This window comes from Homo sapiens, chromosome 2, assembly GCF_000001405.40.
Source record: "Homo sapiens chromosome 2, GRCh38.p14 Primary Assembly".
In the NCBI taxonomy this organism is placed as follows: domain Eukaryota; kingdom Metazoa; phylum Chordata; class Mammalia; order Primates; family Hominidae; genus Homo; species Homo sapiens.
This window is the reverse complement of record NC_000002.12, coordinates 166,136,521-166,163,992: the sequence shown is the minus strand read 5'-3', so window position 1 is coordinate 166,163,992 and position 27,472 is coordinate 166,136,521. Positions and strand designations below refer to the sequence as shown.

General features: G+C 38.3%; 1 protein-coding gene and 1 long non-coding RNA gene across 5 annotated transcripts in view; one reads left to right on the top strand and one right to left on the bottom strand.

The window, feature by feature from the left end:
- The window catches only part of SCN1A-AS1 (SCN1A and SCN9A antisense RNA 1), a 220,254-nt gene that overhangs the window by 137,792 nt on the left and 54,990 nt on the right, over positions 1-27,472 (bottom strand). The window lies entirely within an intron of this gene.
- The window catches only part of SCN1A (sodium voltage-gated channel alpha subunit 1), a 164,521-nt gene continuing 151,880 nt past the window's right edge, over positions 14,832-27,472 (top strand). For all 4 annotated transcript variants that reach the window (NM_001353949.2, NM_001353958.2, NM_001353950.2 and 1 more), the window contains exon 1: positions 14,832-14,946. The gene's annotated coding sequence lies outside the window, so the exon portion shown is untranslated. The remainder of the gene's footprint in view (positions 14,947-27,472) is intronic.

The following is a 27,472-nucleotide window of genomic DNA, read 5'->3' as shown; positions in this document are numbered from 1 at the left end:
CAGAGCCTACAGCCAGTCAATAATACAGCCTAGAAATGGCCAATACAACATGCAAGTGGTGAGTGCTCTAAAGAAGGAAGTACCAGGAAAGCACGAAGGAGAGGCACTTAACTAGTACCTGGGTCTGAGCCTCCTGAAACCAGTTAAGCAGAAACCAGAAGAGTGAGGTAGGGGAGTGCTCAGATAGAAGAAAGGACAAGTGCTAAGGCCTACAGGTAGAGCACCATATATTTGAAGAAGTGAAATTAGCTCAGATTGGGCAGAATATAGAATGCAAAGGGAAGAAGTGATGCAGTGTGATGCTTAAATGCTAAATAGTCCATAGAAAAGTCTAAAGTCTTGAGTCAAAGGCAGAGTCTCTTGGAAACAGACTCAGAGGTTGAGGTTTTCATATGGGATGTTTATGGGCAGAGCTTCCAAGGTCTATACCTGTGGGGAAGCAATGAAAGCCAACTGCTCACCTTCTCTCTGTAAGTGCAGGGGCAGAAATTTGGCTATAATATAGTCGCAACAAAGGATTCCGACAATTTCATGGAGAACTCTGACATTGGAATGGACCTTCAGAGTTGTTCCCATTTGGGATGGGGGCTAGAATTTTATACCCCAAGTGGTGCATGCATTGGACATAGTCTATATAGGCTACCCACCAGGAAGGACGTGACCTTGGGCAAGCAGGTCCTCTTCTGCCTAGGAAAAGTCCCAGGAAGGGCCACAATTAAGAGCTCTTGGCTGCAATACCACAATGAATGTTTGAGTTCCTGTGGGTGAGGGTAGCATCTAGAAAGTGCACCTTGTTGTAAGTAAAGCATGTTAAAGATATGTCTTAATAAATCAGGTTACGACAATGAAAGGCCTGGGCTTTAGGCATGGAAGAGACACAACCTGTTTTATATTTAGAAAGGTCTCTCTGGGGGCCGGGCGCGGTGGCTCATGCCTGTAATCCCAGCACTTTGGGAGGCCGAGGTGGGCGGATCATGAGGTCAGGAGATCGAGACCATCCTGGCTAACACAGTGAAAACCCGTCTCTACTAAAAATACAAAAAAATTAGCCAGGAGTGGTGGTGGGCACCTGTAGTCCCAGCTACTCGGGAGGCTGAGGCAGGAGAATGGCGTGAACCCGAGAGGCGGAGCTTGCAGTGAGCCAAGATTGTGCCACTGCACTCCAGCCTGGGCTACAGAGCGAGACTCTGTAAAAAAGAGAAAGAGAGAAAGAAAGAGAGAAAGAGAGAAAGGAAGGAAGGAAGGAAGGAAGGAAGGAAGGAAGAAAGAAAGAAAGAAAGAAAGAAAGAAAGGTCTTTCTGGCTGTAATATGAGCAATAGACTGGAGAGAAGCATGACTAGAGGCAGACCGACTAGCTGAAAATTGGTTGCAAAAATCCAGGCAACAGATTGTGGTGGCCTGCAGTGGGGTAGTGACAGGAAGAATGGAGAGTTTTAAATGGACCTGAAAGAAGTAGAAGGGGCAGGACTTAATGACTGAATGTAAAAAATTTAGACAGGGAGTAGTCTAAGTTGTAACCCAAATTTCTGGCTTTGGCACCTATGCTAGGAAACAAAGCAAGAGAAGCCAATTGTTTGCCATTGTATTTTTTTAAAGGTAGGAGGGAGTGCAATTGTGTGAATGTGAAACTCAGCTCTGGAAATGTTGAATTTAAAGTAAGTTTAACAGAGACATATACTAAAAAGCACACATAAGGGTCTAAAGAACAGGAAATGTATTTGAACCAGAAATAGGAATTTGGAGACCATCAGCACATAGGTGGTAACTGTATCCAACAAAGTGATCAATATGGCCTAGAAGTTTATAAAGTGAGAAAAATAGAAGGCCTAGGATAAAATCATAAAGGTTTTATTGTTTTTGTTTTTCAGTGATGCATTCATTAAATTCCCACTCTATGCTTTCAACTTGATTAAGGACAGTGGAAAAGAAGAGTAGTATTTTCTGAATGCCTTTGATATGCTGAACACATTACCTCATTATCTTATTTTACAATCCTATGATTTTAGAATATCATCTCCATTTAACAGATAAGATCAAAGACTCATGAAATTTAAGCAAGTTCTGCAAGCCATAATACTATTAATTGGTAGAGCCAGAATCTCACTCCAGATCTGTCTGAGTTTTCCTATGATTTTTTCACTATATTATCGTTAACTACAAATGATTTGGAATAAAGATTTATTATGAATTATGTTTTGTAAAATCATAGCTTTATTTTGGCTTCCACAATTTACTAAACTTTAAATATTAAAAAGTTGTACTGGAAACTAGAAAATTCACATCTACTTTGGGAAATAGAGAGTCTTCTATGTTCTTAAGCCTTAAAAATGTAGCATATAAATTTGTTTTTGTCAAATGGAAAAACAGAATAAGGGCTTACTCTTTCATTAGCCACTTTGTAAAGGAAAGTTTGATTTATTCTGGGAAATTAAAAATGTATAGCAATTGGTATTTAGGACAAAATTACCTCACAACAAAAAGTGTATGCACTATTAGCACTGATATTATTTATTCATGTGTAGCTAGAATTTCATGCCCATATAGGTCCCAGGCTTAAGAAAATGTCTGAAAGAGTTTCTCAGGGCTGTGAGAAACCAGTAATATGCAGAAACTTGCCATAGGCTTTATTGCAGGGATTCTAAAAAAGAAAAACACACAAACCATCACTTCTATTGCTAGAGATGAAACAGTAATGCTTAATCAGTAGTCTGCTTAATCAGTAGTCTGAGCTAGTTTATATCTGCAAATGTTCTCTCTAACTCACTTTGATTCAGAGTTGGAGCTCAGTCTTCCTACTGAGGAACTGAGAAGAGATGATAACCTGACCGGAGGGACTCTTTGGCTATGCTCAGAAGTGGAGTAACCATTCATCAGCAGTTGTCCCTCAGTGGGTATGTCCTCCACATGGAAGATGGCACACATTCCTAAGAGAGCCATACTTTTACCAGTTTCAGTGGTGAGGCTTGAATACAACATTAGCTTTTATAAGGTCATTTAGGTCAAGTGTGATTTTATCTGTGATACACTTTGGAACTGCTAAGCCTTGTGTTGTTATCAGTGTTAAATTATACATATTTCAGGAGTCCTTGCTATTCCCCACCAGGAACAGAAAGAAGATCTCCTTCTAAAATCTTCCTTTATCTCATTAAGTTTCTTTAGGAAGTTGGTTTTGAAATTAAGATTTAACTAGGCTAGATGCTGGTTTGTAGTCCTAAAAAAAGTCTCATGCCACCTAACAAAAAAAAAAATGATTTGAACTTTGCAGATTCTGTTTATTATTAACACGGTTTTCAAAAAGGCTATAAATAAAAAAGGATTGTGTTTTCTTTTGAAAATGTAATATTATACACTTTTTACAATTTGAAGAGGTTAAAATGCACTTAGGTTTTGTCTCATTTATTTTTGTACATGATTACACAGATTCACAGATGGGAAATGTACTCAAGGTCATACAACAAAAGAGTATTTCATGGTAAAAGTAGTATTATAAATCAAGTTTTAAAATCCCATATCTAAAAATGATGTGCATTTTAGTAAAACATCATTTTACTTTGTTTTATAATTTCCTGATAAATAATACATATGAGATGCCAAATCGATGTGTATTAAGGAAAAAATGTTAAGCCTTATATTTAGAAATCTCAAGAACACACTGCAAGTTTATACTAAAACTAAAGTCTCGTAGTTTTCTTAGGATGATGATGTGGCTTAATTTTTAAATATCACACATACATTATTTCTCTAATGAACTTTTTCTTTTGTCTTCATTTCTTTTTTTTAAAAGTGTCCTCTGTCATTGAAGATGCCAAATAAAATGCATGGACAGAAATTAATAGGCAATGGAACTTGATGAATTCTCCTGGAGAATATTTTTATAATGAAAGCTTGGCAACTGTTCCTGTGATTAATCATGATAATACACAAATGCTTAACTCCAGATAAACTGACCATTTCCTTCTTTCTGGGATACTCCTCTCCTTTTCTTTTTCTTTCAAGGAGGATTAACCAGTTCACTCTTTCCCTTTACTATACATTCTTCTCAGTGATGTCCCCACCTCCATTTTTCTATCCAAATCCCACTTTTCCCAAAAACATGTCTCAGTCCACCAGAGAAGGAGGTGGTGTTATTCTCCTTTAAAATCCAATGTATCCGTTTTATTCTGTCTTTCCATTTGACAAAAACAAATTTATATGCTACATTTTTAAGGCTTAATACAACACTGATCATACAGTGTAATATTGTCCATGTTATATATTTCCCAGACCTTCAATTATCCACAAGGATTGAGTTGAGTGCTTACTTCTAGAAGATGGGGGGAGAAGGAGAAGAAGAACTGGGTGGTCAGTGAATATTCCTTGCTTTTAGCTAGGGTTAGCTAGGACACAGCAGATGGCTAAGTACATCAGAAGTAAGGATACTTGGGAAGCTCAATCAATCAGTGGATCACTGGCTAGCACATACACTGAAAGTGGGCTTTCTATATGAATAAGGAACACTTCCAACCTTCCTACCTTTCCTTTAACAGATAAATCATAATACAAAAGAATTTTCTAAAAAAAACTCAAAGAAAAAATTTCTAATCTAGTTGAATCTGAAGATTTACCTGGCTAAAAGTAGTCCTCCTTTGGCTTACTAGGGATAAAAATTCCTGTCTTTACATGAGGGCAGCAAGAAGGTTAGAAATGAACATTATTGACCACCTATCATGTGCCAGTTATTAACATATATTTTCCCAGTAAAGTTTACAACAATTCCCTGAGGGAAATATCATTAGTCCCACTTTCCCCTACAAAATTTGCCCTGAATGCTAAGGAACCAGGATTATAGAGAGAATATGGTCAGCATGTGGTGTTATAAGTGATATTTTTTTCTGCTTTGTTCTGTATAATAAGTTTGTGTTAAAAAATGGCCTAACTTACGTGTTTTAAGCATTCATAAGTATAATATATCAAATGTTATTGTCTATTAAATAAAACAGAATTCATTAGGGCTCAAAATATTAAACGTCAAACCACTAACGTGTTAAATTTAAAATGTTTTACATTACTAAAGAAAGATTGGGTGTGTTCTAGAAATATTTTTTCTTTAAAAGGAACACTAATGGAAGTCAAATTCCATCTTCTGTACTTGCTAAGTTAGCCAAGTGGGGCAATAGCAAAATCGGGGTTTCCTCCAACCTCTAAATTCTGTGAGTCATTGATTTATAATGTGCCTTACTATTGGAATCAGAGGAAACTTTTTCTACCTAATTAAGCCTGCTGACAGAGTAATTCCTGGTGTGTGCAAAATCTGCTTGCATTTGGAGCTCTATTGCCTGTCCTCTGAAAAGAGGGCAATGTCTTCAAATATGAAGACTTTTGCAGCTGTTCGGCTAGTTGACTAATCACTTCTGAGATTTTCTTCCCCAAAATAAAAATCATCTGGGAACTAATTGTTACTCACAATAATATCAGAGCTTGGCATTTCTGAATATCTGTTCATCACTAGATTTCACAAGTCTGAGCCCATCTTTGAAATCATGATCTTCACTTTCAAAATTCAAAGTGGGAGCCTGAGTGGTAACAGAGATTCTCTGTGGCAGGGTTGGGTTAGAATTTGATGTTCTTCTCTCTTATTTTTCACCTCACATCCTTGTAGCACTGCACTGGGTTAGTAGAATCCTACAGTGTGAAATGTTGCATAGAGTGCAACACACAGGGTTCCACTACCTGGAATGAATCCTGGGTTCCATCTTAACAGGAGCATGGAATCAGGTAAATGACTGCCTTACTCGCCTGTCTTAGTCTCTTTATGTTGCTATAAAATAATGCCTGAGGGTAGGTAATTTATTTTTCAAAAAAGGTTTATTGGGCTCATGGTTCTGCTGGCTGTACAAGAAGCATGGTGCTGGCACCTTCTTCTGGTGAGGGTCTTGAGAAACTTCCACTCATGGTGGAAGGTGAAGGGGAGCCAGTGTGTGCAAAGATCACATAGTAAGAGAGAAAACAAGAGAGAGCAGAGGGTTCCAGGCTCTTTTTAACAATCAGCTCTCTCTGGGAATTAATAGCATGAGAACTCACTCATTACTGCAAGGATGGCACCAAGCCATTCATGAGGGATCCACCCATGACCCAAACACCTCCCATTAGGCCCTACCTCCAACATTGGGAATCAGATTTCAACCTGAGATCTGGAGGGTCAAATATCCAAACCATAGCGCCACCTCACATGGATTTGGTAAGAATCCAAGCTTCTAGAGGATCAAATAATCTTTCTAAACTATTGACATACTTATACAAATATAAATTATGATTCACATTTATCTGCCATTAGCCCAACGTTCTCATCAACTTCTTTTACAAGAACAAGAAGAGGAAGTCTCAGAATATATACTGTCACTATAAAGAACATGTTTAGAGGTTTTGCTAAGTGGAATACATTTTAAAATTTTTGTAATCCAGCTGTATCCACAAAAACAAATCTTGATTGTTTGTTGTTCATTTCAGTTATATTGATTTTTCATTTATTTGACTCTAGTCAAGAAATCCTATTTATTGGCCCAGCCCTGCTGCCAACTAGCTTTGTGACCTCATGCAAGTTATCTAATTTTTCCAGGTCTTTTCTTCAACTGAAAACCTGGGAGCGGGGCGAGGGGCATGGGCTGTGAAGAGGGGGTGGGAAAGAGATGAGGCCAAAAGAACAAACAGAAAAAGTTCGGTCTGGATTAAGCAGTACAGAAAATATAACCTTAGTTCTCCACCTCCAGGAGAACTCTGGCCTTAAGCAGAGAGCACTCTGCTGGTTTAGAGTTCTATGTACTCATAGATATTAACACAAAAATGTAGGAGGGAGCTAAGATTTGCTATTTGAGTATAGCACTGCTAAAGCTGGGTTCAAAGTACAATAGCTTAATTTGAAAATCTGACTAAAAATGCCTGAAGATTTTGCAGAAACAATAAACAAAGGGTGACACAGAAGAAGTGTTTGTTGACTGCTTGAATTGCTGATACACTAATAAATGTACTGAGCACATTGAACAGAATGGAGGCCTATCATGGGCAAACATAAATTCCAAAAGTAAGTAAATAAATTAGAAGGGAACAGTCAGTAATCTAACTGTGAGATTTGGGAAGAGTCATGTGCACTCTTCCTCCATGTGTTTTTAAAGGGAACTGTGGGGTAGAGTCATGAAATATGTTCAACACCTATTACAGGATTGCTATAGCAATAAAATAATAAACCAAATGTCAGAGTTTTGAGAAACTAAAACATCATATATAATATAGGACAAAAATATTGAATTTAAAGATATGTCATAAAGTCTACATGTCATTTCTATAATTTTTAGCGTATTTTATAAAATAGACTACCAATGTCTAGCTTCTCAAAAGAGAGGTAATTTTAAATTCTTATACATGGATTTAATAAAATAGGCAGATAATAGTCAAACTGGAGCTGCTACTATAACCAGATATAATTTTTTTTAAAAAAACAAACAATTGCCTTCAATTGGATTTTTGAAGTATTGATGTTGCTTATTTTAAGAAATAATTTTTTTCTGGAGTGAACTGAGTGTAAAGATAATTTTTAGATGATATTTTCTATGATAACCTGGTGATCTCTTACAAAGTGAGCATCTTTTTATAGGACATATCATTATCCCTAGTATTTTCTATTCAATAAATCTATGCTTGCATGTATTTGGCTTTCTTAAAATAGATAGGGTTCATCTTCATTTCTATCAATAATTACAATTTTAATGGCAAAGAACTATAGTTGAATGCATACTGTGTTCTTGTAAGGCTCTGTTTTAGGTGCTGAAAATTCAAAGATGAATAATCCACAATCTTTGCTTTCAAATAATTAGCTAATTACTTGAGATTGGTGACATATAGGCAAATATGTTTAACAAAGTATAAGCACATTAGAATTTTATTATAGTCCACAGCACCATCCCAGTGAGCGGGAATCCTTTCCACTAAGATGGGGGTAGAGGAATCAGGAAAGGCAGTCTGAAAGAACTGGTTCTTAAACCTAATCAATAATAGGTGTAATTGACACTTAGTAGTGTATCAGTGTCCTTTGACTTTTGGGAAAGGACTGAGGATGGAATGGTGAAGCCAGGTCTTGGTGGAACGAGGGAAGATGAATGCCCTTGATGGAAAGCAGCCTGAGCATATTCACAGAGGCTTGAAATAGCATAAAGATCTCTCATGCCTGTAAGCAATTCAATGATACTAGAACACTGGCCAAAATAAGTGGGTGTAAAAGTAAACTCTTGATCTGGTCTGAGACTTATCCACAGATCTAGAAGGGAGTTCCTGAGAAAGCTAACTATGTGGAGATTGACTAAAAATTAGATGTGGGGATCCCAGAAAAGAAACGACAGTACATTTGTGCCAGCCATTTAGGCCTTTTAGGGTGAAATCAGAGATAATCTAATGTACTGGAGAGTTAACCAGGGACTGTGTGTTCTGAGATCTCACTTGGGAAACCAACTTGGAAAAGAGAAAATGCCAGAAAGGACAAAAATTGAACACTTAGCTCTTCCTTCTTTCCAGTTGCCTGCCTCCCTGCATCCTCCCATCCACACTCATGTCCTGACCTAGATGATTCTCTTTTAATTTCAAAACTGAGAAGTTCTAGTGGTGGGTGTGCGTGTGCATAACGAAGTCAGGCAGCTGGTAAGGAGAACAGAAAATTTTGGGGGTGCTTCTTCCTGGACTAAGTAGAACAACTACTTTGTACATATCCCTGCAGGTTCAGAAGAGAATCCAAGACTGAAAAATGCAGAAAGGCAAAATTATAAATCTACAAAACCCCTGACTCATTAAACACTAGGTTACATAACTCTTTTAAATGAAAGCAGTTTCTAGATTGCCTAGGGGTTCATCCTCAACACCAATTAACATTCTCTCTCTCTCTCTCTCTCTCTCTCTCTCTCTCCCTCCCTCCCTCCCTCTCCCCCCTTCCCTTCCTCTTTCTTGCTAGATGTCGGATTCAAAGCAACATATGTAGTGTAAAACAGCAACTGACACTTAAAACCCCAACACTGACTAGAGCTAGAGGACCTCATCTGTGTTGGCCATCCACCTTAGTCACCGCATTAGCTGGCCTGTCTGGTAAAACATCCTCTTTGATCTTTTTATTTATTGTCCATATATTTAGATAGACAAACTGGACTTTGGATTGTGGAATCACTAAAGAACAGTTGCTTTTCCTCAGCTCCCTTATGAAATAGATCACTTGGAATAAGCAGATTCCTCAGGCATTATTACTAAGGACAGTATCCTGCCTGAGCCTCGTCCTTCTCAGTTCCAACACAGGGCACTAATCATAAACATACCTGCTCCAGTGATATATTTTTCAGACCACTTTGTGTTTCTATTGAACTGTAATCTATTTCTCCATTATTCTAGAATATCCTTCATCGTTTATTTGGGGTTTATCTCAAAATATTCTGAAATTGTCTTTTTCTAGAGCTTATTCTTTGTCCTCTCCATCCCCAATTTTCTTATAATATCAAGTCTCTTCCATTGTTTCCTCTCTCTCTCTCTCTCTCTCTCTCTGTGTGTGTGTGTGTGTGTATGTCTCTCTCTCTTTCTCTGTCTCACACACACACACATACCCACAATACTAAATCCTCTGGAAAGTGTAAAACAAGTTTATAATCACTTCAGGCTGATTAATTGGGCTGTTAATATTGAGGCCGAAATTGTTATTTGCCTGCCACATATCTTTCCTTCCTTCTTCCTTACCAAGAGAACTGAGTTTTGTTTGAAACATCTATGAATCCAATTTAAAAGCTATGTTTCTCCAGCCTCCTCCCTTGCTGCTGTAAATAGCCATATAACAATTCCAGGCAATTAGATACATAGTAAGATGTTAACTAAGGATTTATGAGAACTTTTTTAAATTTATTTTTTACTGAGAGAGAGGGTCTTGCTCTGTTGTCACCTAGGCTGGAGAGCAGTGGCGTGATCATGGCTCACTGCATCCTTGAACTCCTGGGCACAAATAATTCACCCACCTTAGCCTCCCAAGTAACTGGGACCAGAGGCATGCACCACTATGCCTGACTTTTTTTGTTGTTTTGGTAGAGATAGGAACTCTTTATGTTGCCCAGGCTGGTCTCAAATTTTTGGGCTCAAGCCGTCCTCCCACCTTGGCCACCCAAAGTGCTGGGATGTGGGTGTGAGCCACCACAACCAGCTTTCTTTCTTGATATAGACTCTACCCCTTTCTCCTTGTCCCTTCTTATATCCTACCTGAAATACAGAAATGTTAGCTGGATATTAGCTGGATGCTACCATCAGAATGGGTTCAGAACTAACCCTTTTAAAGTTCATATTGATCATCCATGCTCCTCCTAGTATGTAGAACTGTTGCAATTTAGGATGCTTTGTTTAAAATGTAAAAGAGACTGGAATCCTAGATACTATGATGTAACAACTGGAAAATCTATACTGAAGTTTCTCTTGGCTCTGTGAGTAGAAGAAAAAGTATGTGCAAAATAGAATCAATCATAGCACCAACATAATGGAATTTACTCCCCCCTAAAATTAAATCCTCTCAGTTCTCTAATTTAATTTTTAAACAATAATTGGCAAAAAGATAACATATGTTTTTAAATTGCTTCAACTGCAAAGATAAAAGGTAGGCAAAGACAGCTTGGTGACCACCAAAATTCATGTTGCCTTCTAGGAAGTGGCTGCCCAGCTAGGGGAATATCTCAGCCTTCCGTTGCATCTAACGGGGCTATATGACTATTTCTCACCATTGAAATATAAGCCAGCCATGTATGTCACTTCTGGGCTGAAGAGGTAGGTGTAATTCTTCATGATGTCTTTTTCCATCATCAGCTGACTCTGAGTACCTAGAAGCAAGAGGTGCCACAAGACTGAAGAATCCTGAATCCATAAATGATCACATGGAATGCCACCTGCCAACTGGGAACAACCACGTAGAACTTTTCATGAGCAAGAAATACAATTTCATTGTATCAAGCCACCAAGATTTGGGAGTGTATTTGTTGCTGAAACAAGGGTTGTTCCAATTAATATAAAGGGCAAAAATAAAAATCTCACATTTTAGTGTATTCAACATGAAATAACTGAAAAAGCAGAATGTCATTCAGTGGGCTCACAAATAATTAAATAAGATTTTCCACAATTAGGTAAAAAAGAATATAAACCAAATTAATTTATAAAAAAAGATGAAAGTTAATACTTTGTTCTACCTTGAGTTTGTGACTTACAAAATCTATACCTGCCAGTTACTAAGTATTTTTTAATATTGCAGTCTCCAGTTAGTCTTGATATAGTCTGATTTTTGACAAAGAATTTTCCCTATTTATTTCTTTAAGAGGGTGAAATGAATGCTATGTTCTATGAAGCTTTTTAGTGAAGTAGAGCTTTTTAGTGAAGTAATATGCAATTGGTTTTGAATAGGATATTCCAAGGTGATGGCGATCTGGATTCAGAAGTCAACTATCTTCCATAGAAAAATTGGGTTTAATAGACACTAAGAAGACCATCATTTGCTCCTCTAAAATTAGAGAGCTGCTATTCCAGCCTGCCCATAAACATTCTCCAAGTCTAAAGTAAGTTTTTGGATAGAGGGACTATCATGTTCTAGGACCTTTCAAATTATTTCTTGTGCCAATGTGAAGAACAGATTCTGGTCTACAGAGGCATTGTTGAGACTGAATTAGGAGAACTTACAAAGACCTTCCATGGACCAGCCAGGGGGAGCCACATGCTATTCAGTGTAGCTGACTCCAGCAAGATAACAAGTGGAAAAGAAAGGAAAAAAAAAAAAACTCATTAAAGGCCTCCTTTCTAAATTAGTGAGATAAAATTTTGCTTAGTAATTGAAGAGATTCCAAAGGTTGAAGCTTTAATTCAATGCCTATCTATTCTTCCAGTGAGAATCTTTTCAGAAAAAAACTTCAGACAACCTTATTTTGTAGGGTGAATGTGAGATGAAATAGGGCATGGGATTATTTTCATTTTTCATTATGAAAAGTCTGTCTACAGTTTTCTCTTCACATCTATCTGACTACAATATAGTTATAAACCCATCTGTTTCCCAAGTAACATTCTCTTCTAAAAGTAGGATAATTTTTTTCCATAGAAAGCTCAGATATAAAATGAGGAGACTTTTTGCTCTTTAGGAATACAAATCAGCTTAGACTAACCAATCACACTGAATTTTTAAAGATTTTACCAGTAACCAAAACTATATATTAATGGAAAATGGATATGGGGGAAATACATCCTTTGTCTTAAAAACAGAACCCCAACTTTATTTAGGGGTGGCAATGGGCTCAGCTAAAAACACAGTGATTCCACATTCCCTTGCAGGAGGGAGCAGCCATTTTTCACAGTTATGACCCATAGGCTATAAGTTAAAATCTCTAGGGGGTTTGGGAAAGCTCTTGGAGGAACCTGATTTAGCTGGCATGTGTCTTATGCCTTTTGGTCTTCCTATCCTTCTCCCTAGCATGTAGTTAGGATGCTGGAAGTGAGGCAGCCATCTCAAGACCATGAAGCAACAAATAGAAGGATGAAAGTCACAAGCTGAGGATGTTTGAGAGGAAGAAAAATGAGCTTAGGCCTCTGAAGACTGTGAAGTCCTACCTTCAGACTAATGTCACTTAAGAAAAACGAACTTCTATTTTGGTTAAGTTAGTATATGTTTGATTATCTCTTACAAGCAGCCAAACCTATACCAAGTTGATCCAATTAGAAGAATGTGCCAAAAAAATCTTTTAACCGTTTCCAAACGTGCATTTCAGAAGCATTCATTTACTTTGGCAATTATTAAACTGATATATATTAGTAAAACATTTTTATACACTTCTTAAAATGACTCCTCCAAATAACTCTACTAGGCCATACTCTATGCACTTCCTATACAGGGAGGGACACATTATGAATACTTTTCATCCCTCCATTGATTCATTCAGCAAACACTTATTGGAGGCCCAGAAAGCATTGTGCTAGGGGCAGGGATGCAAGAATGAAAAACACACACCTGATTACAAAAGGCTTAGTTTATTTGAAAAGAATAAGACAGAATATTTTTTAAAAACATTCTATTTTCCAGTTCTTTGCTTCCTGAGGGTTGTTTGTTTCACATACATTAGCTCTCCAAGGGATAGAGAAGCCTAGCACCATAATCAACATCAATAAAATAAAAGGATCTGAGCCAACAAATTGGTGTACATAGCTTAATGTTCAGAACACAAATTCATCATTGAATATTTAATTAAATGTTGCACCAATGTGTTCATTACTGTTGTGAGAAATAACTGAAGAAAGTTTCTCATTCCAATCAGTACAGAACTTGTTTTTCCAAAATCAGACTACTGCTAAAAGCAGATATTTAGTACTACTCCACTTTTTTTTTCTGTCATTTGTATGATATAAAAAAATCACTGTACATCAAGCCTTTACTCCAGTATCAAAAGACAATTATTCATTGCAGTATAGCTGACAAAATAACAAGTTAGTGTCAGGAAAACCATTTTTCACTCACCTCTTCCTCTATGTCAGGCATATCATCTAACTTCTTTCTACCTCAGTTTCCTTATGAGTTAAGTAATGGGTTGGAATTAGATCACTGTGTTCCCTCATAGATCTAAATTCTCTTATTTCCTCACTCTACTTAGTGTGATGCATTAGCAGATAGGTTTCCCAGCTAAGAGCAGAACATTAAGATTATTTTTAAATGATGTGTGGTTCCTTCTCTATTTCTGTTACCTCAGGAATTATACATATTAGCCAACAACTCATATCAAACCACAATTTTATATATAATTAAACAATATAATGTCATCTTTTATTAATAATACTATATCACCATACTCAAAATCAGAATAGAAGACTGGTTTTATTATTTCTAGCTTTTAAAAGCATAACTTGCATTGCACACATTTGGGATAATTGAAAGAAAATTAGATGGAGTGTACATTGTTTTAAATTTGCTGTTCACATTATCCCCCAGATATCTAGGAGTAAGTCTAACACAGATTATCTCAAAAGCACAGCAATCCTCTTGCTCCATTATAAGAAATTATTTTCAGAGTCTAAAAGATTGATTATATGCAAAATCTGAAAGCTAAAATTAAGATCTTATTTTTCAGTATAGACAATAGAAGTAATTAATTAACACATCTGACATTTATCGGCAACCCACCATAGGCAGAGATCTGCTTTCTTATTAGTTGCATAAGATTTTCAGAAGTTGAAATACATTAAATACAACCAGTTTAACCCACCACGTTCTGAATTTGATATCCTATTACCTTGCTCACAAACAAGATCTTTAAGGAACATAAACACTCTTTACAAATCCTTTAGTTACCATCCTGCAAAACAACTCACACCCCCAATAATAATCTCATTACATATATACATATTTCCCTCTACTCACCACAATGAGTTAAAGGTGGACAAAAGCCCTCGGTGACTGTCTTTGAGTTATTACTTTGCTTTACCATTTCCTTCCTTTTAGGTGTCATGGTACAGGACTTTACTGATAGCAATTCATTCTTGTTAGGTTTACTGCAAACACCAAAAGAGGTGTCTTGCACTTGCTGGAAGACTTAGCTTTTATGCTTCTGGTCATTCTTCCCACAAAAAGAATGAGACCAGTTTCTGAGCTATTCTTAACTCGCCTTCCAAAATATTTCAAAAGAGGAAGACAAGAAAGACTTCATGATTTCCATGCAAACTCCCAGCCTGCCTGGCTGCCTGCTGCTGCCAATACTTCTTGCTCTTGCTGGTGATGACATTCAGAGAGCTCCCCAGCACTGGTGCTTCGTTATGTAAGGCTGTCTAGGTCAAGTGTAGGAGACACACTGCTGGCCTGTGGAAACTCATGGAACTGTTCCTCCAGATTAACACTTCAGGGGTTATGGAAGCTGGAGGAAGCTGAGCTTTTACTACATCTTTTGGGGGTAAATATTTTTGCATGTTTCAGCAGTTTATGTACTACAGTCTTGGCAGATGCCTGTCAGTCATGCTGAGAGGTGCAGGGAGAAATTACTGAGATTACAGTTCTGTCAGCATGCTTGAATAAGCATAGTAAGTCTTCCAGTAATCCTGGCTTTGAGACACTTAAGGAGTAAATAAATCATAAATTCAAATTTGCTTATCGGACATCATCTGTAACCATCAAGGAATGAATGTTGATTTGATATTTAAACTCTGAATACAATTTATTTGATTGGAGGTGTTGTAGGAGAGCATTATTAGAGGTGGCTATTAGCTCAAAGAGATTTACTGCAGTTCTTGGCTGTTACGTTGCCCTTGTCTCTGGCTGCAAATTTGCTTCCCTTGTAAGTGAGTTATATATATGCCTGTATTTGTCTTCTGTTGTGATTGTTTGTGATCGTATAAGAATAAACTGGCAGTTAGGTGACTTCAACAAATAATGAATCCTGCCTACTTAGTTTCAAGGTGAATACTGCAGCAAAAGCGCCATTCGACACTAGCACTGAAGGAGGGTGGATTAACTGCATTGGCTCAAACTGTGCTGTGTTTAGGAGACTTGAAGGGATGATTCCAGGTTTGATATGAACAGTTGTTCACTCTATGGGTAAAAGTAGAAACAATATAGCGCTGATTCTGTTTTAGACTCTCACACTGTGTCCTGCCTCAGCAATTAGTTAAAATAGCAGGCTCTTTATTGAATGCTGCAGAAAAGCCTAGAGAGGTAGCAGGGTAAGATTGCCGCAGCAGAGTGATATATTGGCCAGGAATTTTAATAAGATTTAACCAGATATGATAATACAACAGATGGCATCTAATCTAAAAAATAGATGGATATTTAAAAAGTTGAAGACAAATGTAGCACATTTGAGAGGGTTTATCTTCCTGTGTGTCCTTGGCAAGTGAAGTTCAGTACCTTGGACAGGATGACATGAGTTAGGAAAGTAAAGTCTGCATAAACTGTCTACGTGATCTCAAAGAGCAAAATGGAAAGTTAACTATCAATCATTTGTTTTGGTGTCTCTCAGTGATGACTGGCATTAGGCAGGTTACTTAGCACATACTTTCTAGGTAAACAGGTAGTTTTAAAGTATCTAAAATTTCTTGCATTTTAAAAATTAAATTAAAGGAATGAAAATGAGTGATCGTAAAATAAATTCCCCTGAAGGTACTTTTCATTCTATTAACCATATTAACAGCAGCACATTGATTATTTATGATGAAAATATACCACTTACAATTGTATGCTGTATTTAGTTGATTAAACATGTACATGATTTCCCAAATAATTTAAAGAGACAATTATGGTCCCTCGGGGCCTGATTTTATATTACTGAAGTCAATAGGCATTTTCCCTAGACATAGCTTGAGATAAGAGCCCCATCAGACCAGGTTTTACTCAGTTTGGCATTCAGACTATTCCTCATAAGTTAAAAAATGATGGATACATACTTAATTGTACTTATAATCTTTGAGTTTATATATCTTTCAGATAACAATGTCAGTGTTCAAATTGTCTATAATTGATTTGCATTTAATATTGTTTCTTTTGGCTATTGCTAAAAGGGATTCTTCTTTGTTGTAATAAGCTTAAAATATATTAATTTTTTCATTTTAAAATGGGGAATTTGAATTAAATGAGGTTTAAATTAGTTTTGATTCTACCATATATATCTTTGTATTCCTCTAAATGGGAATTAACATTATTAACTAATCTATGTTAAAGTGAGATTACATTTTTTGGTGAGATTATATTGTTTGAATATTTACAATATTAAGCCAAAATTTACTAAGTACCTACTAAATTCTAGGACAGTGGTTTTCAAAGTGGGGTCTCCTAACCAGCAACATCAGTACTACCTGGGAACTTGCTAGGAATGCATGTTTTCGGGCCTCATGACAGACTTACTGAGTCAGAAGCTCTAGGGATGGGTCCTGGCAATCTGTGTTTGTGTAAGCCTTTCCTCCAGGTGACTGTGAGGCATGCTGAAGTCTGAGAACCACTGTGCTGGGAAGTAATTTGGTTAAATATTATAAAAATGGTTTTTACTGTATATAGTTAAATACATATTGTCATTAAATTTTCTATGTTCATCTTTGCCTAGATATCCTACTGTAAGCAGTACTATGTTTTAAAGATTTATGCAATTATTGAGTATACCTTAAGTCTAAATATGTCCATAAGAAGGTCTATTTTCCAACAGTTCCATTTTAGAACTTTAGCTCTTAGAAGTTAAATACTGTAATGGGAAAAATACTAGAGGACTTATCTGTTTGTTCACTGTGTGATTTGGCACATATCACTGACCCTCTTTGATGTTCAGCTTCTCATTTATTAAGATGAGAGGTTGGCTTACATCAGGGTTTCTCAACTCAGTACTATTGACATTTGGGTCAGATATTCTTCGCTGTGGGGTCTGTCCCAGACATTGTGGAATTTTGAGCAGGGTCCTTGCCTCTACCCACAAAGTGTCCATAGAAACCCTCAGTTGTGATGACCAAAGATATTTCCAGACATTGATACCTGTCTACCAAAGGCAAAACTGACCTCCTCCTCATTTGAGAACCACTGACCTAGATTAGCTCCGCTATGAAAAGTTCCATCATAATAAATAATACAACAAATATATCATTTATCCTTTTGGAAGTAGGTAGGTTAAAACTTATAAATAAATGAAGACATGTTTTACTTGTATAACTCAGGTATAAGGTGGGACCTGTTTGCACCCTTGAAGATCTAGGTGACGATCTATTGGTAGATATCTGTTGGCAGATATCTTGCTCAGGTATCTACCAATACCACAGTCAGTGGAAGTCCAAAACCTTCTGCAACTTATCAGGGACTTAGTCTTACATCATCCTCTGTGTCCTGGCATCGTGGTTTCATGTATACTACACCTAACCACTCTGTCAAGTGACCCAGTGTCTGTCTGTCCCTAGTTTTTAACAGAGACTTACCTACACCAATCACCTTTTCAATTTAATAAATTTTATTAAAGATGTGGGCTTCTACCCGCATTTTCTCCCTTCCCCATCCCATCTCTGCTCCTCATCCCCTCCCTGAGAGATCTGAACACTCCAAATTTTTCTCTTCTTAGTATGGAAAGTAGTCCATCTCTCCACAGCTCTTATATCCAGACGTAGATGCCCAAACTCATCAAAGAGTTTAGAAGATAAAGGGCCTTCAATTTAGAACCATTCACCATACATAGAAGGCAGTTGGGGTCATATGGTATAATCATAAAGTTATAAAATCATAGGCTGTTGGAAGGAATATTGAATTTAAGTTCATTTTCATGTCTTTAGCCTTAAAATTACAAATGTTACAAGCTAGAGTCTCAGAATTTTAAATTATACCTTCCCATGAATTTTTACCTAAACCACTTGGCAATTTAGTACAGACATTTTCTCGACCTGATATGTGCGATAGAAGTAGACAAGCCTCACACACATGCATGTGCGCCTACACACACACACACACACAAATTTTTCTCCAACAGTTAAAGATTCTTTTCAATATACTATTCTACAATTCAAATTAGGTGCTATTCTGAGATATATGTGGATTAAGGAACCTAATATAAGATATAGGTAGCTATATTTCTGTTAAAATAATAATACCTCATACTTGAATGACTATATATGTATTTTCAAGTAATTTTAAAAACATGATCCCTGCCGGGAGTGGTGGCTCATGCCTGTAATCCCAGCACTTGGGGAGGCCGAAGCGGGCAGATCACGAGGTCAGGAGATCGAGACCAGGTGGCTAACACAGTGAAATCCTGAGATCGCACCACTGCACTCCAGCCTGGACGACAGAGCGAGACTCTGTCCCCCACAAAAAAAAAAAAAAAAAAAAAAAAAAAAAAATTACTTAGGCCAGGTGCAGTGGCTCACGCCTGTAATCCCAACACTTTGGGAGACCAAGGCTGGCAGATCATGAGGTCAGGAGTTTGAGACCAGCCTGACCAACATGGTGAAACCCCATCTCTACTAAAAAATACAAAAATTAGCTAGGCATGGTGGTGCGCTACTCAGAAGGCAGAGGCAGGAGAATCGCTTGAACCCGGGAGGCGGAGGTTGCAGCGAGCCGAGATCACGCCACTGCACTCTAGCCTGGGCGACAGAGTGAGACTCTGTCTCAAAAAAAAAAAAAAAACCATGATCCTTTCTGAGACCCATAGCAACTCTAAAAGATAGGCCCCATTATCTCTGTCATTTTGCAGTGAGAAAATAAAGGCTCAAGGTCTCCAAATGCCAAATTCACTTCTCGTTCCACTATCCTACAAAGCAAAACTCAATAGTTCATGTAGTTTGAACACATTGGTAAGTATAATTTCTAAGTGATTTTTTATAAAGACCTGTCTCAAGAGTCTTCCTGCTCTAAGACCTTCAGAGAGATTACCAGTGCTTTGTTTTATTCCTAGGATTAATGCATTTTACCTGACTTATCATACATTTATTCGTATCATATGCTTAATTAATTTTCCGGTATATGTATTATAGAATGATTTTAATACATCATTTATTATACTAGTCATAGTCACATGTGTTCTATCACTTAGTGCCCTCAAAAAACTCCATGGGAATAGGATTATTACCCCCTTAAGAGGGAATAATTCAAACATGAGATTGAATTAAATTTCCCTATACTTGAGCTTTACCAGAGGTACCACACTGATGACCCAGCCAACTTCTCTGTTTTCACCAACGAAAATGCAGAACATAGCAACAGACCATCTCTTTTCACTGGCACCCTCCAGTGCTTGACATATAGAGAGTGTCAGTAACTTTTATTGAAGAAATACTGAAATATTGTTATTGCTATGTAGTTCCTTTACATTTTGGACTTTACCTAACATTAACCACCCTAGTTAATTAAGTAGCAACTTGCAAATGAGGCCTGGAAGAACCAAAAAACAAATTTTAAAAAGAACTGTCTGCAACTCGGAACTGCTAATGCTACTTTCTTTGTTTCACTTTATTTCACTTGAGAAAATCTCTTTGGGTTTGATACGGAGATGTTCTCAGACTTTGAATGTGAAAAATTGTTCCCAAGATCAAATATAAATTCCTCCTTTAAAATACAATGTCACAAACCTGGATCACAAAGTCACTTCCCTCTTTAGTCTTAAAGTGAATACTCAAGATGAACGTGAATGATCTTTTATTCCAATTTCCAATTTAGAATATTATTTCAGAAAATAATTATTCAAAGTTTTTTGAGAAACCTCCACATAAAGCCAAACAAATTTTTACCAAAGTAAGGTAAATTCTTTGTCAACTGAGAGCCTGAATTAGATGATTCCTCAGACTTTTTTCTAATTATAATATTCTAGGTAAAGGAGTTTAGCTCGGCAATATGACCATCCAAATATCAACCAAATCCAAGATGATTAGATTTAATAGCGCCATTTTGGAGATGCATTGATTATTGAAGATAAGTAAAGGTCTCAACATTTTTGTTTTCCTCATTTACCCCAAAATACATCCTTAGTCACACATGTCTTAGGATCTGGAATTTGTTTGATAAAAATGCTGAGTTCTGGCCAGGCGCAGTGGCTCATGCCTGTAATCCCAGCACTTTGGGAGGCTGAGGTGGGCAGATCATGAGGTCAGGAGATCGAGACCATCCTGGCTAACACAGTGAAACCCCGTCTCTATTAAAAATACAAAAAATTAGCCGGGCGTGGTGGCAGGCGCCTGTAGTCCCAGCTACTCGGGAGGCTGAGGCAGGAGAATGGCTTGAACCCGGGAGGCGGAGCTTGCAGTGAGCCGAGATCCTGCCACCGCACTCCAGCCTGGGCGACAGAGCGAAACTCCATCTCAAAAAAAAAAAAAAAAATGCTGAGTTCTGAAAAAATAAATCTTTCTTGTTTTGTTTCAAATGAAATTATAGCTCTCTGATAAAGTGGCATTCCTTTTTCTGTTTTATATTCAACGAGTGTATTAGTCCGTTTTTGTGCTGGTAATAAAGACATACCCAAGATTGGGTAATTTATAAAGGAAAGAGGTTTAATGGACTCACAGTTCCACATGACTGGGAAGGCCTCATAATCATGGCAGAAGACAAAGGAAAAGAAAAGACACGCCTTACATGGCTGCAGGCAAGAGAGCTTGTGCAGGAGAACTCCCATTTATAAAACCAACAGATCTCATGAGGCTTATTCACTTACTAGAACAGTATGGGGGAAACTGCCCCCGTGATTCAAGTATCTCCACCTGGCCTCACCCTTGACACATGGGGATTATTATAATTCAAGGTGAGATTTGGGTGGGGACACGGCCAAACCATATCAGCAAGTGAAACAGTGAAATTGGATTTCTAAAAGTTGTCAGTGTTCTGTTGGAATTATTTTATTCAGAGAGGTAAGGAAAGTACAACAGGTGTCAACCTTCCATATGAAATTTCCTAAAGAATATTATTGTTACCTCATGCTGGGAGAAGGGAAAGTAGCAGTGATAGAGTGTTTTGATTTCAAATGTACAGCTTCTAGTAAAAGCATTATAATTAACTTTATAGTAGTAAGCACAACCAGGAATATAAAAATATAAAAGTTTTGGGTTTGGCCTCCAGATTTACCAAATGTTGCTTCCTAACAATTAGCCAACCCTCCCACACTGACACTTACTTTGTCTAAATTGAGTTTTAGGAGAAAACAACCCAATTATAAAGACACAACTATTATCAGTCAATGCCCTGACAAGAAACAGATGGCTCCTCCAAACTTGTGGAAATAAAAAGCAAACTATTTGGTTTTATCTTCTCAACACGATATTTTCATGGATTCCTTGGGAATGCGGTTCCAGTTTTCCCTCTTTAGCAGGTGTGCCAGGCCCTTCTGATCTGGCTGTCTGCCTACCTCTCCAGACTCTAGCCACTTCCACAGACCCAACTTTACATATATCCTACATGTATCTCCTCTTCTTAGAATGCACCTCCTCTTTCTCCTCCACCCTCTTTGTGTCTACTCATAAATGCCTCAGAGAAATTCCTAGATAAGTTTAAGACAGTCTAGATTCTACTTCCCAGTCAACAAAGAAAAAAGTTTGATAATTTCTGGTGATGGAAACAGTTTCTTATGCTGTTCTGGAATATAAAATGGTGCCACACCTTTGGAGGGAAATCTATTGATACCTACTGGGTTAAAAGGCACATACCCTTCCACCTGACAGATCCATTTCCTGAGACTAGATCTTAAAGGAAAATTTGCACAAGTGGGAAATGCAATTGTAAAGAAATGTATACATCCGCATTGTTTGAAATAGAAAAAAAAAAAAGAAAAGGAAGAAAGAAAGAAAATAACATAAGTGTTTATCATCTGAGAACTGATTAAATAAACTTTGGTATATCCATCTATATACAGAACAAAATATTTTAAGCAATAATAAGTGAACTAATTAGAGATAAATTATGTAACTTAAACTAGGTTTACAGCCATATATATTGTGTGATGTTTTTCTTTCTTTTTAAAAAAATATTTGTGGAGATGGGTTCTCAGTATGTTGCCCAGGCTGGTCTTGAACTCCTGGCCCCAAGCAATCCTCCCACCTCAGCCTCCCAAATTGTTGGGATTACAAGTGTGAAACACCATGCCTGGTGTCTGGTACAATGTTATTTATAAAAAAAAGAAAAATATAAAACACGTATATTTCAGATGCTTGGATATACACAAGAATTCTAAAGAAGATAAAAAAAAAAAAATTAACAGCGATTGCCACTGCAGACTGGGCCTGAGGGAAGAGAAACTGGAAAGTTAATTTTTACTTCAAGAGCCACTCAAGTCAATTGACATTAGAAATGTGACTTAGAAGAGTAGATTGGGTTTGCTTGGTGTATCTAAATAGTATGTACAAGCAGGGCTGCAAAGGGGAATGGGAACACCCGGGGAGTGGTGAGCAGGGCAGAATGGCTGATTTACATGTTCAAGGTGCAGAAGGAAGTGAGTAGGCTTTAAGAGCTGAGGCCAGATGTGACAGCCAGGGCTTCTCAAACACCAATGTGCACAGAATCACCTGGGGAAATCTTGTTAAAATGCACTTTCTTATTTAGAAGGTCTGGGTGGAGCCAAAGAGTCCACATTTTCAACAAGCTCCCAAGAAGTGGGGATGCTGCCAGTATGTGGCCACACTTTCAGAAGCAAGGTTTTAAAATTCTGAAAGTATCCTGGTTTTGCGCGGTCCGTGTCTTCACAAACATCAAGCAGAGCCGAAAAGCACTTGTTTTTAGAAAATGAGCTGAGAAAAAAACACCTAATTAAATACGATGTTTGCAACATGAAGCTTCCACCAAAGGAAGCTTACTGTTAAGTGTTCACGATCAGCAGTTCTGCTTTGCTAGCTTTTTCATTTCTAACAAATTTAGACTTCTGGAGATTGAAGCTTTGCCAGATTGAGGCATGCTTCTCCCCTCACTACTCATGTGTTTAGTGTATTTGTTAACTTGGTGAGAGTACGTCCAAACATAGTTATATTCTTTCACTTGCTATGGAAGATTGAAGAATCTGAGACAAGTAAGAAGGAAGATCTCCATTTGCCTCCCTCCCACCCTGCCACATGCTGCCCCCTAACATGTTTGACAAGAATCCAGGCTACAGACTGATCATACACCTAAAAACTATCTTCGGTCAGCTACTTGTAGAAATGTCTCTCCCCCATTATGTCCTTATATGAGCTTAATGTGATGTAATCCTTAGCAGTAAAGAAAGACTATTGTCTTCTGTTTGTTTGCCTGTGAACTCGAATTGCAGAGACTTTCCACCATAATTTTAATAATGTGATATTGTGGAGAGTTTTAGTATGGCCTTATGGTAAGATTAGGTACTTTGGAGATACACTGCTGGTTTCAGAATCACACTTAGTCACCTCGTTACTGTGTGATCTTGGCCAAGATGCTCAACTACTCTGAGCCTCAGTTGCCTCATTTATAAATTCATGAAGATAACATGGTAATAGCAACTATTTTATGAGACTGTTGTGAGGTTTGAAGGTCCCAAAATATATTAAGTCCTCAATAAAATTAACAACAATTATTATTATTCTAAAATTATTCTTAGAATTTATCTAAAAATAGTACTGCTTGAATATCCATATGTTTATTCCTGAGTCTCTACCTGCTATGATTTGGCTGTGCCCCACTCAAATCTCATCTTGAATTGTAGCTCCCATAATTCCCATGTGTTGTGGGAGGGACCTGGTGAGAGATAACTGAATCGTGGGAGCAGTTTTCCCCATACTGTTCTTGTGGTGGTGTATAAGTCTCACGAGATGGTTTTATAAGGGGTTTCCCCTTTCACTTGGCTCTCATTCTCTCTTGCCTGCTGCCATGTAAGATGTGCCTTTCATCTTCTGCCATGATTACCCAGTCTCAGGTATGTCTTTATCAGCAGCATGAAAATGAACTAATACACTGGGCAATTTACAAAAGAAAAACAAGTTTCTTGAACTCATAGTTCCACGTGGCTGGGGAGGCCTCACAATCATGCTGGAGGCAAGGAGTAGCAAGTCACATCTCACATGGATGGCAGCAGGCAAAAAGAGAGTTTTTGCAGGCAAACTCCCATTTTTAAAGCCATCAGATCTTGTGAGACTTATTCACTATCATGAGAACAGCACAGGAAAAACCCACCCACATGATTCAATTACCTCCCACTGGGTTCCTCCCATGACACATGGGAATGGTGGGAGTTACAATTCAAGATGAGATTTCAGTGGGGACACAGCCAAACCATATCATTCCACTCCTGGCCCCTCCCAAATCTCATGTCCTCACATTTCAAAACCAATCTTGCCTTCCCAACAGTCCTCCAAAGTCTTAACTCATTTCAGCATTAACTGAAAAGTCCACAATCCAAAGTCTCAAGGCAAGTCCCTTCTGCCTATGAGGCTATAAAATCAATAGCAAGTTAGTTACCTCCTAGATACAATGGGAGTACAGGCATTGGGCAAATACAGCCATTCAAAATGGGAGAAATTGGCCAAAACAGAGGAACTACAGACCCTGTGCAAGTCTGAAATCCAGCAGGGCAGTCAAATCTTTAAGCTCCAAAATGATCTTTGATTCCATGTCTCACATCCAAGTCACGTTGATGCAAGAGGTGGGTTCCCATGGTCTTGGGAAGCTCCACACCTGTTGCTTTGCAGGGTACAGACTCCCTCCTAGTTGCTTTCACAGGCTGGCATTAAGTGTGGCTTTTCCAGGAACACAGTGCAAGCTGTCAGTGGATCTACCATTCTGGGGTCTGGAGGATGGTGACCCTCTTCTCATAGCTCCACCAAGTGGTACACTAGTAGGGAATCTGTGTGGGGGCTCTGACCCCACATTTCCCTTCCATACTGCCTTAACAGAGGTTCTCCATGAGGGCCCCACCCCTGCAGCAAACTTTTGCTGGGCATCCAGGCGTTTCCATACATCTTCTGAAATCTAGGCAGAGGTTCTCAAACCCCAGTTTTTGACTTCTGTGCACTTGCCGGCTCAACACCACGTGGGAGCTGCCAAGGCTTGAGGCTTGCACCCTCTGAAGCTATGACCCATGCACTATGTTGGCCCCTTTCAGCCATAGCTGGAATGGCTGAGGCAAAGGGCACAAAGTCCCTAGGCTGCATACAGCATGGGAACTCTGGGCCTGGCCCATGAAACCACATTTTCATCCTAGGCCTCCAGGCTTGTGATGGGAGGAGCTGCTATGAAGGCCTCTGAATGCCCTGGAGACATTTTCTTCATTGTCTTGGGGATTAACATTCAGATCCTCATTGCTTATGCAAATTTCTGCAGCTAGCTTGACTTTCTCCTCAGAAAATGGGATTTTCTTTTCTATTGCATTGTCAGGCTGCAAATTTTCCAAACTTTTATGCTCTGTTTCCCTTTTAAAATTGAATGCCTTTAATAGCACCCAAGTCACCCCTTGAATGCTTTGCCACTTAGAAATTTCTTCCACCACATACCCTAAATCATCTCTCCCAAGTTCAAAGTTCCACAAATGTCTAGGGCAGGGACAAAATGCCACCAGTCTCTTTGCTAAAATATAACAAGAGTCACCTTTGCTCCAGTTCCCAACAAGTTATTCATCTCCATCTGAGATCACCTCAGCCTGGATTTCGTTGTTCATATCATTATCAGCATTTTGGTCAAAGCCATTCAACAAGTCTCTAGGGAGTTCCAAACTTTCCCACATTTTCCTTTCTTCTTCTGAGCCCTCCAAATTGTTCCAACCTCTGCCTGTTACCCAGTTCCAAAGTGGCTTCCACATTTTTGGGAATCTTTTTAGCAGTGCCCCACTCCCAGTACCAATTTACTGAGTAGTCCATTTTCAAGCTGCTGATAATGACATACCTGAGACATGACAATTTACAAAAGAAAGAGGTTTATTGAACTTACAGTTCCAAATGGCTGGGGAGGCTTCACAATCATGGCAGAAGGCAACGAGGAGCAAGTCACATCTCACATGGATGGCAGCAGGCAAAAAGAGAGCTGTGTCAGCAAAATCCCATTTTTAAAGCCATCATATCTGATGAGACTTATGCACTATCATGAGAACAACACAGGAAAGACTCGCCACCATGATTCAATTACCTCCCACCAGGTTCCTCCTACTACATATGGGAATTGTGGGAGTTACAATTCAAGATGAGATTTGAGTGGGGACACAGCCAAACCATATCATACACTACCATATACTAGGCACTGTATTAAGGGTTAGGGTATTAAATAGAATCTTTTATCATAAAGATTTTTGTTCATCTCTGTAAAATATTTTAGACACATGTGTTTTGCTTTTTAAACAAAGAAAAAGAGATGTTTTTAGAGATAAGATGAGACACATTGTTATTTTCCCCAGTTCCCACCAGCCCTTCACAACTGCCAACCTGGAAAAAACATTCCCAGAGCCCAACAAATGCTGGAGCCCTGGAAGAAGGGCTACTAGCAGGAGCACTGGACTCCAAGGAATGCAGACCAGGGAAGAGAGTGTTGGGAGTATTAAAATGTAGGTTAGAAGTGGAATAATGGACAAGTAGAGGGAAAGACTTTCAAGTCCACTTTCCAGGGATTGAGAAACTTGGGGTCCTTCATCCGTTGGCTTTGAATGCAGCCCAAGACAGGCATTAGCAGAAAATTGGAGAGTCTCCCCGACCACACCTCACTTCCTAGCTTAAAAAAGCAGCTGCATTCCTCTTTAGTTAAACCTCTCAGTTGGGTCTTCTAAAGCTCTAGCTCTCACCGGAATCTGGTGCCACTTTCACTCTTGCCTGGAATGGCATTGGCTCTCTCTATTGCTAGTTCCTGGGCACTCATCAACCATCTTAACCCACTTGGTCAATAGTTTCTCCATAATTATTTTTATTTTAACCATTTTGAATGTACCATCTACTTTCTGCTAGGACCATGACTGCATCTGAGGTATAATTTTAAAGCAACAAATGGTTCATGGAAGGGTAACTCTGTTTGTGATGCCCAAGAGAGGAGACTTAGGGCAGATAGAGATACATATAAAG